At 48.1% G+C, this 12,702-nt stretch overlaps 1 protein-coding gene across 17 annotated transcripts in view, besides 2 other annotated features; it reads left to right on the top strand.

Moving 5' to 3' along the window:
* The window catches only part of ZBTB7C (zinc finger and BTB domain containing 7C), a 385,914-nt gene that overhangs the window by 214,758 nt on the left and 158,454 nt on the right, over positions 1-12,702 (top strand). For 10 of the 17 annotated variants that reach the window (XM_047437347.1, XM_047437346.1, NM_001371285.1 and 7 more), the window contains one exon: positions 11,833-11,894. Coding sequence is in view for 3 of the 17 variants with exons in the window: in XM_047437345.1 (XP_047293301.1) it covers positions 12,497-12,504 (8 nt within the window). In the remaining 14 variants the exon portion in view is untranslated. Of the gene's footprint in view, positions 1-3,901; positions 4,135-11,832; positions 11,895-12,372; positions 12,505-12,702 lie in introns of those variants that run through there. The other 7 variants (NM_001371287.1, XM_047437345.1, XM_047437348.1 and 4 more) reach the window with 3 other exon arrangements.
* Positions 11,089-11,606: an enhancer, noted in NCBI's record as "H3K4me1 hESC enhancer chr18:45712593-45713110 (GRCh37/hg19 assembly coordinates)". NCBI's record gives its function as "activates a minimal SCP1, AML or CMV promoter by ChIP-STARR-seq in primed H9 embryonic stem cells {active_cell/tissue: H9 hESC(primed)}" and the evidence as "EXISTENCE:reporter gene assay evidence [ECO:0000049][PMID:30033119]".
* Positions 11,607-12,125: an enhancer, noted in NCBI's record as "H3K4me1 hESC enhancer chr18:45712074-45712592 (GRCh37/hg19 assembly coordinates)". NCBI's record gives its function as "activates a minimal SCP1, AML or CMV promoter by ChIP-STARR-seq in primed H9 embryonic stem cells {active_cell/tissue: H9 hESC(primed)}" and the evidence as "EXISTENCE:reporter gene assay evidence [ECO:0000049][PMID:30033119]".

The raw sequence follows: 12,702 nt of genomic DNA, 5'->3' as shown, positions 1-12,702 counted from the left end.
CTAGCTCCCAATATGGCTGTATTTGGAGTAAGGAAGGAATTAAGATTAAGCAAGGTCATAAAGGTGGAGCCCTGATCCCATGGGATGAGTGTCCATCTAACAAGAGACACCAGAGAGTGTATTCTCTCTGGCATGTGAGGGCACAGTGAGAAGATGGTGTCTGAAACCAAGAGCAGAGCCCTCAGCAGAAGCTCAACTGGCCGGCACCTTGACCTTGAACTCTCCCAACCTCCAGAACTATGACAGATTTCTGATGTTAAAGTCACACAGTTTATGACATTTTTGTGACAGCAGCCCTAGCTGACCAATACAGCATTTTATTTAAAAATATGTCAGTGAAGAACAGGAGAAGTGGCTTTTTAAAAATTGAGAGCTGTTATCTCTGGGAGTTGGGGCTCAGTGTGGAGAGGGCTGGAGCAGGGGCTGCTATTTTTCATTGCTGAGCTTTTATTATTTTTGATTTTGTAAAACCATGTATATTTATCAGTTTGATTTTTAAAAGTTAGCCAATTCAAAACAATAAAAGTAATTTATTGACTTAGGTAAATGAAAAGTTTGGAGGCAGGATGATTGGAGGCAGGATGATCTTCAGGAGCAGTTTGATCTGGTCCCTAGTTCCATTTTTCTGTGACTAGCTCAGCATTGCTCACTGGACTTCTTATGGTAACAAAATGGCTGTAGCAGCTCCAGGCCTTGCATGCACCTTCCACATCTCTAATAGTGGAGCATCTTCCCCAGAAGTCCCTAGCAAACATCTCCTTGCATCTTATGTGACAGAATTTGGTCTCGTCACCGTGGCCAGGGAACAGATTTGAGCTGATTCACTTAAGCCAACCATGACCCACCCCTGAAACACATTGGTTGTGGGGGCCAGGTGGTAATCTGGAAGGAAATTAGCTTTCTCTTTCCAAGAGGAAGGCAGAATGAAAGGTGGATGGTTCAAAGTAGCAAATATTCACTACAGATATGTTCTTCTGAAGGGCATTTTCCTTCTTCTCTTCATGAGTTGCAGGTGCCTGCTAACACTGTACTTGAGATTGGTTGGTTGGTCGGTTGGGTGGTTCATTGATTTGATGGCATTTGGGTTAAATATTGACTTTTGCTATATGTGACCCATAGAGCTGGGTCTAGAAAAAAAAGACTTTCAGAAGGGAAGTTAAAAGAGGAGAGGATCCCATACAACATAAAGGATTTCAGAACATGAAGAATGAGAGATAAGTCCGTGGCCACATCTTCTTATGGGGACATGTGCACAGCGGTGACACAATTGGACATAAACCTAGCCTCAGGAGGGTGGTTTGATTGAGAGACTCCTAGACATCCCTCTGACCCCCAAATCCTTCCCCAAGCAACCTACTGCAGATGCCTGAAATTACATATTAGAAACTCACCTCTGTAAGAAGTTCCTGTCACCTCTGGGAGAGTGGTGCATTTGGCTGTTGTCTGTTACTAAAGCTGTAAAGTTAGTTTGCCAAATCCTTCCTAGACAGCTGCAATGGGAGGAAGTCTTGGGTGGGGATGCACGGAGGGGAAAGGCATCTGGAGAGATATAGCCCACTCCCCAAAGGGTGGAGTAGGGAAGAAGCAGCCCCAGGGGAGGACTGGACCAAGGTGGGCACGCCAGCATCAGGTCCTTAGTCTCTGAAGAAGTAGCCTTCCTAGGTCTGGATAAGGAGGGCACTGGATGCCCTCTAAACTGCAATTAACTGTCTTGCCAAATTTACCAGCTTTCTCCATTCCCCCTGACTGATACCCACAGCTAGAGGAACACTTGGGACAGGAAGGCTGCTGTCCAAGATGTCCACCATGTCTGCTCCCACCAGCTGAGCCAAATGCTTTCCTGGAGGCAGCTGGGCTTCATTCCCAAACCTGTTTATGCCAGTGGAACTTGCTATTGTAATTATGCAATTTAATTAAATATTATACAAGCCAATTAAATACTGTTGCAAAAAAAAAGAAGAAAATATTTCTATGAAAACTAAGTTGAAGCTTTGGAAAGACTCACAAAAACATTTTTGAGTCATTTTGAGTCATTTTTTAAAAATGCTGTTGAGTTAGGTGTGGGTGAAACAACTGCGGAAGGTTGTTGGGGAAATATCAAAAAAATCTAGGGAGACTTTTTACACTCAGATTATTTTGCCAATGTATTTAATTTGTCATTCAAGTGGAAAAAAAAACTGAAAACTGGAAATTGTAGGCAGTGCCATATGTATTAGTCTGTTCTCACACTGCTAATAAAGACATATCCGAGACTTGATAATTTTATAAAGAAAAAGAGGTTTAATGGATTCACAGTTCCACATGGCTGGGGAGGCCTCACCATCATGGCAAAAGGCAAAGGAGGAGCAAAGTCATGTCTTACATGGCGGCAGGCAAGAGAACATGTGCAGGGGAACTCCCCTTTATAAAACCATCAGATCTCATGAGACGTATTCACTATCACGAGAATAGCAGGGGAAAACCCGCCCCCATGATTCAATTACCTCCCACCACATCCCTCCCACAACACGTGGGGATTATGGGAGCTGCAATTCAAGATGAAATTTGGAAGGGGACACAGTCAAACCATATCACCATATGAGTATGGTTTATGTAAGAAATAATAATAGAAACAATTTACCAAAAAATAGAAAAAGACCTTAATGTTACATCAAAAGTTTGGTGAATGAATGTACAAGTATATATTAAAGGTTAAAATCTTTCAGGTAGCTCACTAGTCCAGACAGCTAAGAGGGCCCCTACCATAGTATATTTGCCAGGGCTTTAGCTCCTAGAAACTCACTCCTACTTCTCTGAATCAGAGGCTGGTACGCAGAGATTACATTTTTGGGCCACAGATGCTTAGTTGGCTGAGTTTCCCAGAGCTGGCAAAATTGGGAGTAGCCAAGGGGAAGCAGGGATGGGGATGACTTCAGCCTGAGCCAGTCCCTCTGCCCCCTCCCCCCTCCCAGATGTGTCTCTGCAGGGCCCGAACAAAATGCTGCACTCCAGCACCCACTCCTCCTCATCTGTTCTCCCTTCCCCACAGCTATCCAAAGACTCAAGCCCAGAGTCAGCTGGCGGGCATTTGGGGTTCCTCAGCTGCCCTCCTGGCTGTATTTCCTGATCCTCTCTGCATATGTCATCTGCTCCAGCCAGACCTGGTAACTCACTGCCCTGGTGATGCTGGGCCTGTCCCTGCCTCTGCAGCGTTGCTAAGAATCTCCCCTGTCTAGACTGCCCTTCACCCCTATCTCTCCAAATCCTCCCCATCCTGCAAGCCTCTGTTTACTCTGCTGCCCCTGGGAGCCCTCTCACATTATCTCCTGAGCTTACTGGGCATGATCACCTTGCTGCACTTAGTTCTCACCAGGGTTCACTGGCCTAACCACACCTCCCCCCAGCTATGAAAGTGGAGTCCTTCTTTAGCCCCTTTCTAGATTTTAGTTCAGACAACCCCCGCAATATCACCACTCTGCATAAATGCACATATTTCACCATGGATGCTCCTGCAATGGACAGAGAGCTGCAGGATGACTTAGAAGCTGGTGTGAGAGATCCCTCCTCCCCTGGCTGTCTGGGCAGGGGGTAGGGTGGGGAATCCAGGAGTACTTGCCTGAGTCTAGAAAAAATAAAATGTACGTGACTGAGCAGAGGACCCAGATTGGGCAGCCAGACTAGGGAGATGAAGCCTTTGTTCCTTGGACAGGCTCATCTGCCCTCCCCTTCCTTGGCCCAGGCCCCACTGTTGGCCTTGGCTCTGGGCTCAGCCCTCCCTCTTTCTCAGGGCTATTTTAAGATTCTAGGCCAAGGTCACAGAAATGTGGACTTCTAAGGGGCTGTCACCCCAGAGCAATGACTGAAGGAGGATTCCATTATCTCAGCCACACACAGACACAACCTCCCCCACTCCCTCTGAATCACACCATGGCTTCATGCCCTGCTGGCTAGGTGGCAGGGAGTAGACCCCAGCTGACCCTCCATAAATGCTTGCTGGGCTTCCCAGAGGCACCCCCACGATGGGTCCCTGGACCAAGGGGCTTCATTCTGCTTCTGTCTCCACACTGACGAGGCAGGATGCTCAGAGATGACTCCACGCGCCTGCCACCTTGTTTCAGTGGATCCTGGCCTCTCCACCCTTCCCTGCAGGAGCTGGTGAGTGTCCATCCTGCTGGGGAGGGGAGCAAAGCAGAGCAGGAGCAGCCAGGGGAGTCATCTCTGAGATATGCTCTCAGCGCTGCGGCAAGTGCCCCCATTAACAAACACAAGGTTTCTCCTATGGCGTGTTCCTTCCACCTGAATTCTGCTATTCATTTTGTTCAGCAAGTACTCTGTTGGGAGGTTGGGTAAGGGGCTTATAATCAGGTTTTTTTTTGGATGGGGGAGCAAGAGGCATGCAAATAATTACTATTTAATTCAATACCTGTTTATTGAACACCTACTATATCTGGTGTTGGGAGTGTGGGGAATAGGAAAAGGCTGGGCAGAGTCTAGCCTCTAGACCTGCGAGGAGGGGGCTAAGTCTATTATAGACCTTCCCTCTGGAAGTCAGGGAGAGTGTGCCTGGCCCGGGGTGTATTCTCAGAAAGAGTGAATTAAGAGTAGAATCATTGCCTAATAGCCGGAGGTGCCCGGGTTGCTGGGGTGCACAGCCCTGTTTGCATCACCAGCTGGAGGCCCTGCTGGCCTCCCCACTTGACTTTCTCACACAGTCTCTAACATTTTGGCCAGACATGGTTGCACTTCAAGTTGGGAGGATCGTGCAGGTCTCACAGTCCTCCTCCAAGTCCCCAGCGTGGGGCCTGGGAGTCCAGTGGGGACTCAGTGATGCCCCATACTTATTGGCACCGAGCGTTGTGTTTTGAAATGGTTGATTTTTTTTTAATTAAGAAACTTTATTATTTAGAGCAGTTTTAAATTTATAGAGAAATTAAGCAGAAAGTACAGAGAGTCCTTACAACACATCCCTTTGCAATACCCTCCCTCGCCTTGTTTCTCCTATTATTACCATCTGGCATTAGTGTGGCACATTTGTTATAATCGATGACACAATATTGACACATTGTTATGAACTAAAGTCCATCATCCACTGGGTTCAGTGGCTCACGCCTATAATCCCGGCACTTTGGGATGCCAAGGCAGGCAGATCACCTGAGGTCCAGAGTTCATGACCAGCCTGGCCAACATGGCGAAACCCCATCTCTACTAAAAAGACAAAAATTAGCCAGGCGTGGTGCCACGGGCTATAGTCCCAGCTACTTGGAGGCTGAGGCAGGAGAATCACTTGAACCCGGGAGATGGTGGTTGCAGTGAGCCAAGATCGCACCACTGCACTCCAGCCTGGGTGACAAAGCAAGACTCCATCTCAAACAATAAAATAAAGTCCATCATCAACCGTTTACACTGGAGTTCACGGTCCACGTTGTACCATTTTATGGGTTTTGACAAATGCATAATGTCATCTATCCACCTTTACAGTATCATGCAGAATAGTTCCACTGCCTTAAAAATCCTCTGTACTCTGTCTATTGATCCCTTCCTCACCCAACCCCTGGCAACCACTGATCTTTTTACTGTTTCCATAGTCGTGCCTTTTCCAGAATGTCATATAGTTGGAATCAGACAGTATGTAGCCTTTTCCAGTTGCCTTCTTTCACCTGCTTTCATGTTTTTTAGTAATATGAATTTAAGTTTCCTCCATATCTTTCTGTGGCTTGATTGCTCATTTCTTTTTATCGCTGAATTACATTCTTTTGTCTGGATGTTCCACAGTTTATTTATCCACTCAGCTACTGAAGGACAGCCTAGTTGCTTCTGGTTGTTGGCAATTATGAATAAAGCTGCTATAAACATTTGTGTGCAGGTTTTTGTGGGGATATAAGTTTTCAGATCGTTTGGTAAATACCTGAGGGTGTGATTGCTGGAGTCTATGGTAAGCCTGTGTTTAGCTTTGTATACAACTGCCAAACTGTCTTCCTCAGTGGCTGTACCATTTTGCATTCCAAGGGTGGTTGATTTTAGTATTGGAGATAAAGCAAACATAGCCTCTGAAGGATCCTGGGAGGGGCAGCTGCTGCCTCCCTGTCACTGCAGACTCTCAGCTGGACAACCCCCGGGCCTCTCAGGACTGAGGCTGGCCCACCTGCTGTGAAAGCTCAACACACCAGGCCTTGTTCTCACCAAGCGCTGGGCTCCCACTAGCCCCAGAAGTACTTTCTCCAGGAATGTGGTCAGCTATCATTTATGTGCCTGCCCCATGTGAGGCACTGAGGACTGAGCAATAAGCATAGTGGCTCAGTGTCCTCCACCCGCCACCATGGAGCTCACCTCCCAGGGAAAAGCCAGCCTTGCTGGCCCCAGCTGAGGTCCTGCACCAAGTGTTTCTCCTTGTTCTTTTATTTTATTCTTGCTTCAACCTTGTGAAATAGGATGTAGGTAGCGTTATTATGCCCCGTTTGCTGGTAAAAATCTGACGCAGAGAGAGGTTAAGTCACTCGCCCAATGTCACACAGCTGGTCGATGGCAGGGCCAGGCTGCCTCTGAACCACCAAGCATCATGGCCTCCTGGGAGCTACAGACCCTGCCACAGGGCCCATGACCTGGCCATCCTCCCAGCCACAGACACTCACTGAGGGGTGGCCATGTGCTCATCTTCCACCTGCTGGAAGGTCAGAGGAAGCAAAGCACAGCCCGTTCCTACCCTCCCACCTCTGCAAGGTGGGTGTGTGCAGGCCCTGGGCAGGGAGTTTGGGAACCTGACTTCCGCTCTTGTCTTTAGTGTGCTCAAGGCAAGGTATTTGGCCCCACTGGGCTTCCGTGGCCTTGGTTGTAAAGTGAGAGATTTGTACGACTCCCCCAAGCATGGGACTTGTTTTCCCCAAAAGAGACTCCAAGAAGAACAACACCAATTTTGTGTCACATGCCGATTATAAGTGCTGTGCCCAAGAAAGGTTAGTGCAGATTGGGTGGTGGGGGGAAGATGTCATGAATTTGCCTCAACTTTCAAGGCCTCTCTACAAAGGCTGCTGAGAGGGGGGATCTTTAGCAATGGGCACAAAGGCCATGGACAGCAAGGCTGTGTCTGCAGTGGGCTCTGCACTGTGCTCAGCTCAGGGCCTGCCTCTCTGGGGTGCCTTGGGCCTCCCATGCACTGAAGCCCACAGTCGCTGTTTCATTCTAGGCATAAAATCCCACTGTCCCCAAACCATCCTGTCTAGTGGCTGTTCCCTTCTGAAGGATGTCATGCAGGCTAAATTTCATACTAAACTCACAAGTCATATAGGTAGAGTTGCAAAGGGCCCCTGAGTTCATGGGCTTGATTTGAGCACTGCTTCAGTGTCTGCTAGCTGGATGACACTAAGACAATTGCTCAGCTCCTCTGTGCCTCCGTCATCTTGTCTACAACCCTCCTGCACGGAGTTGGCAGGCAGGATTCACACCTTTTCATATCTGCATCCCCAGCAGGTACTCAACAAATGTGTTGAATCTATTCTACCTACCTGATACATACGTGGGAAAATACTTCTTTAATCATAAACCATCATATAGTTAATATCAATGGTAATGTTAAGATTAGTATTAATGTTGTTCCTTACAGAGTCTTGATTCACACTTAGTCTTCTTCTTGCTCCTGATAATCCTGGGCAGTCTGGAGGTGGGGGCAAGAGTGTTTGTGGCCACACATTCACAGACAGACACTGCACTCCCACCTTCCCAGCATCTGCCCGCACCCAAGGCAGAGAGAAGAGGGACGGATGATGATAGGGAGAGAAAAGGATGTCAGGAAAAGCCTTGGCCAACAGCACTCTGGTCAAGGGCCAAGTGTTTCTCCCCACGACAGCAGGCAGGAGCCAGAGCCCCTCCACTCCACTCCCTGAATGTTGCTTCCATTTCTCACCTGTCGGGAAGAGCCAGGAGCATCTGCCCCGCAGAGGCCAGCCCTTGACAGACAGCACTGGCTGGTCACCGAGCCAAGGAGAGACAGAGCTTGGATGATGCCCTCCTGCCCCTTTCCAGCCATTTTTGGAGATTCAAGAAAACAACTCATTAGTCTTGAGTATTCCTTAATGATCTAATGAGAGCAAGGCGAGCCAGGTCGTTGGGATTGAGAGCACCCAGGTCAGGGCCTGGGAAGGCACCTGAAATGATTAAGGACCTTGTTCTGGCTGCAGAGGTGTGAACTTATGCCGTATCTATCCAAGGCGAGGGGCACCTGGAAGGATGGGTGGGGGAGAGGCAGCAACTGCTAACTTGGAAGGTCACTAGCTAATTTCACATTCCTAAAATTGAATCATAATTTTATTTTTCTAAGTTGGAAGAACCTTTGAGACCACTCCCTTGTTTTGCAGATGGGAAGACAGAGGGGACGAGGCTTGTCCAGAACTCCTGTCAGTCTCCCCCTGTCTCCAAAGCCTGGATTTTTTTTTTCTTTTTTACTTCTAACATTATTTTTGAGGCTTAAAGTACATTCCAAGAAAAAAAATCCAGGGCATAGAAAAAAAATTACCCATGCTATTTATTCACTCTCACTTGGAGAAGCTGTTAGCTCTAATGACCTTTCCAAATTAATAAAATCTGTAAATGCTCAATTGTTTATTGCACACATTGAGTTACACCTCTAAGTGACTGGAAGGAACTGAGCGTTCACCTGGAATATTTAGCTCCAGGGCTCTGCAGCCAGCAGTCATGCTTTGTGCCCTGGGCAGGGGAGCTATGGTTAGAATTCCCTGAGAAAGGAGGCAAGGCAATCCGGCAACCATGGTGTGCTCAGCCCTGAGCTACAGCTTGTGGTGGACAAAAAAATGTTAGCAATAATCATTGCTCAGGGTTCCTTTCAGGGACTTATTAGAAGAGACCAGATTTTCAGACAAGAACATGAGATAGTACCTAAGAAGTGATTGATTACGGGCTGTGGCATTCAGAGAAAGTACAACTGGGAGGGATCTGGAAGGCTTGATGAGGGAGGTGGACTTTGATGTGGACCCAGTAGAAAGAGTAAAATTAGTTCAGATGGCACAGGAAGGGGCTTTCTAGGCAGGGGTATGAGGTGAACAAATGGTAACAATGAAAGTGTAATAGGAGCCCAGGTTCCCGGTGGGGAGAGCAGACAGGGGACACAGGGATAGGACTGGCTAAGTGGAAGGAGGCTGAGTTCTGGAAGGTGATGGTGTTTGGACTTCAAGAGGTGGGAATAGGAGAATCCTGTCTCTCAATGCTCAGACCCCTCTCTCTGTCTGAGGCCACATTGCACAAACACCATGCTTATGAGCCATGGGCTCTGATATAGTTTGGCTGTGTCCCCACCCAAATCTCATCTTGAATTGTAACTCCCATAATTCCCAGATTCTGTGGGAGGGACCCAGTGGGAGATAATTGAATCATGGGGCTGGATTCCCCCATACCGTTCTCATGGTAGCAAGTGAGTTCTCACGAGAGCCAATGGTTTTATAAGGGGCTTTTCCTCCTCTTCACTCTGCATTCTCCTTGCTGCCACTATGTGAAGAAGGATGTGTTGCTTCCCCCTCCACCATGATTTTAAGTTTCCTGAAGCCTCCCCAGCCATGCAGAACTGTGAGTCAATTAAACCTCTCTCCTTTATAAATTACCCAGTCTCGGGTATGTCTTTATTATCAGTATGAGAATAGACTAATACAGGCTCCCTGGCCCAGTCACACTGTCCATTATGTCCTTTGGTCCCAGTGAGTCTCCCTGTCCAAGCTTGTGAATGACACAGGCCACTCTGACTTCCAAAATGAAGATGGACTGAAGTCTTGCAGAGAAACAGTGTGGAGGTGTATGCTGTGCTATTGTTGCAGGGGGATATTTATTTTAACCATTTGTTAAGTGTGTAATTCATTGAGTACATTCACACTGTTGTGCAATCATCACCACCATCCATCCTAGAACTTTTACATCTTTTCAAACGAAGCTCTGTCCCCATTAAACAATAACTCCTCATTCTCCTCTCCCTGCCCAGCCCCTGGCAACCACCATTCTACTTCCTGTCTTTTTTTTTTTTTTTTTTTTTTGAGACGGGGTCTTGCCCTGTTGCCCAGGCTGGAGTACAGTGGCACCATCTCGACTCACTGCAAGCTCTGCCTCCCGGGTTCACGCCATTCTCCTGCCTCAGCCTCCCGAGTAGCTGGTACTACAGGCACCGGCCCCCACACCCGACTAAAGTTTTGTGTGTGTGTATTTTTAGTAGAGACGGGGTTTCACCGTGTTAGCCAGGATGGTCTCGATCTCCTGACCTCGTGATCTGCCCACCTTGGCCTCCCAAAGTGCTAGGATTACAAGCATGAGCCACCATGCCCGGCCTTCTACTTCTTGTCTTTATGGATTTGACTTCTCTAGGTACCTCATATAAGTGGAATCATACAGTATTTGTCTTTTTGTGACTGGCTTATTTCACTTAGCATAATGGCCTGGAGGTTCATCCATGCTGTAGCCTGTATCCGAATTTCCTTCCACTTTAAGGCTAAATAAAATTCTGCTGTATGTATTTACCACATTTGTTTATCCATTCTTCTCCCAATAGACGTTTGACTTCCCTCCGTCTTTTGGCTATTGTGAACAATGCTGATGAACGTGGATGTACAGATATCTGCCCCATTCCCTTGCAGGAGGATTGAGCTTTTTAAAAACAAAGTGCTTCCAGCTTTCAAATGATCAGAGCTGATCTGCCGGCCCTCACTGCTAAGGCTCCACAAGGAGCAGATTGCCAGCTTGCCACTGCTTGTGTGCTAAGACCCTCCTCCCTTGAGCAGAGCTGCACAGTATCCTCTGCCAGGGACACAGATCAAAGCTGGCCTCTCGCACCCACCCCTTTTCCCCATTCCGAGCTAGGCTGCTCAGTCTGCGCTTCAGCCAGTGTCAAGGCCTCTTTGCCTTCACTTCTTATCCTGAAGTGCATCAGTCATGTCGAATTTGTCCCTCGCTGAGGTAGCAAATGCTTTGTGCCCTTGCTTGGTAAGTTATTTCCCCACCTTCGAAAATGTATTTAGCCACGATTGTAAAAGCCAACTAAAATCACTCATTAACAGTCTCCCCTCCTGTCCAAGGAGCTCCCCACTTCCTGACTCCCTCCAAAAATCCACGTATGCATCAGCAGAACTAAAGGGCATCCTGTCTTGAAGCATCACTGCCTCTGGGCGTTAATTGCCCAGACTCACATTGCAACACTTTACAGTGATGACACACTCAGGCGAAATGCAGGAGAATTCACAGTTCAGGTTAGCGTTGTCATTAACTCAAGTCTTTGGTGTCAACTCCCTCCCGCCCCGAACGTTCCTGCCTGGCCTTACAGTCAACCTCCCCGATGCATTTTCTGGCCTTTGTTGGTTTGTGTCAGCTCTTGAACATTATTTAAATGTAGTTTGGGGTCCATGAATGCAATTACCATTGTGTTATTATTCAGAGCCAGATTGTTAAGATGCAGGCAGCTGTACAAGGAGATGCCCTGTGCTGTGAGGTCCAATTTAGGAAGGCCTTCCGAGCTGCACGCGCAGGGTTGCTAGGCAACCCCATGCTACAGAAGTGGAGGCCTCACTCCGGAGTGGGAAGAAGCCAGGGCGCCTTCAGGGAATTGGAGGCAGTGGTCAATCTGAGACTGGCACAGCGCCGGGGAGGGAGAGGGAGGCAGCGTGGGCCGAGCCCACGGGCCTGGAGGGGTGGAATCCTGCGAGGAGCGAGGGGCACCCACCCAACTAGCATGCAGTGTGCCTGGGGAGGGGAGAGTGCTGCTGGGAGTGAGAACACAGAGAAGGTGCAGAAGCCTGAGGTCGGCCGGGAAACTGCTGAGGATACCCAGAGCAGATGCTAATATGATTCTCCGTCCCTTTCTTCTCTTTGCAGGAAATGAGCAGATTTGCAGAAAAACTGGTGTCCTGAAATTTAAAACTAAGGCATCGGTGCTTGTGAGTATGAATTTTGCTTTTTTAGTTCTGTGGCTTAACAATGTTCCTGGGAAGTGGGTGGATTTCCCTGTTAGGGGAAAAGAGCATGACCTGGATGGGATTGGCTTTTGGTTCTTCTTCTGGAAGCTTCCTCCCTTGGGGTGGAGCTGAACCCAGGAATGTAAGGCACTGAATTGGAGGAGGGTGGTTTGAACCCTGGCTCTGCCCTCTAAGTGGAGAATGTTCCCACTGGCTCATGAAAGAGTCACTCCCTTGACTCGATTGCTGTGCGGGAGAGCAGGACTCTAGAAAAAAGAGAGATGTGCATTTTTTTTTTACTTGGGGCCACAAACAGTTTGTACAGTTCTAAGTTTGCTGCTAGGTTGACCCCCTATTCAGAACAGTAAATTCTCATAGAGGCCATTTAACAGTGTGTTAAACTAAGTGCAGTCACAGGAACCAATCCATTAATCAATCTGAGAATGTCATTAATCACCAGGTGCCAGGCAGCACCTGGAAGCTCTGGGAAATCCACGAGAAGCAGCAGGCATTGGCTCTGTTTTGGAGGAGCTTTCAGTCCAGTTCAGGAAGAGAAGACACCTGCATATGAGACAAAGAACTTTATGACCAGGTGTGTGCACCAGCTCTGGCTGGCATGGCCCGGGCAGAAATGCTGGGGATGGGAAATGGTTAGGGAAGACTTCCTGGAGAAGGAGAGGCTTGAACTGGACTGATGGAGGAGGGAGGCCATTCCAGGAAGGAAGGAACAGGGGTGGATGCCTATGTGGAGGATGGTGTAGGCATGGGTCTGAGGGTGGGAGGGGAGAAG

This window comes from Homo sapiens, chromosome 18, assembly GCF_000001405.40.
Source record: "Homo sapiens chromosome 18, GRCh38.p14 Primary Assembly".
Taxonomy (NCBI): Eukaryota; Metazoa; Chordata; class Mammalia; order Primates; family Hominidae; genus Homo; species Homo sapiens.
This window is presented reverse-complemented; position numbering and strand designations above follow the sequence as displayed.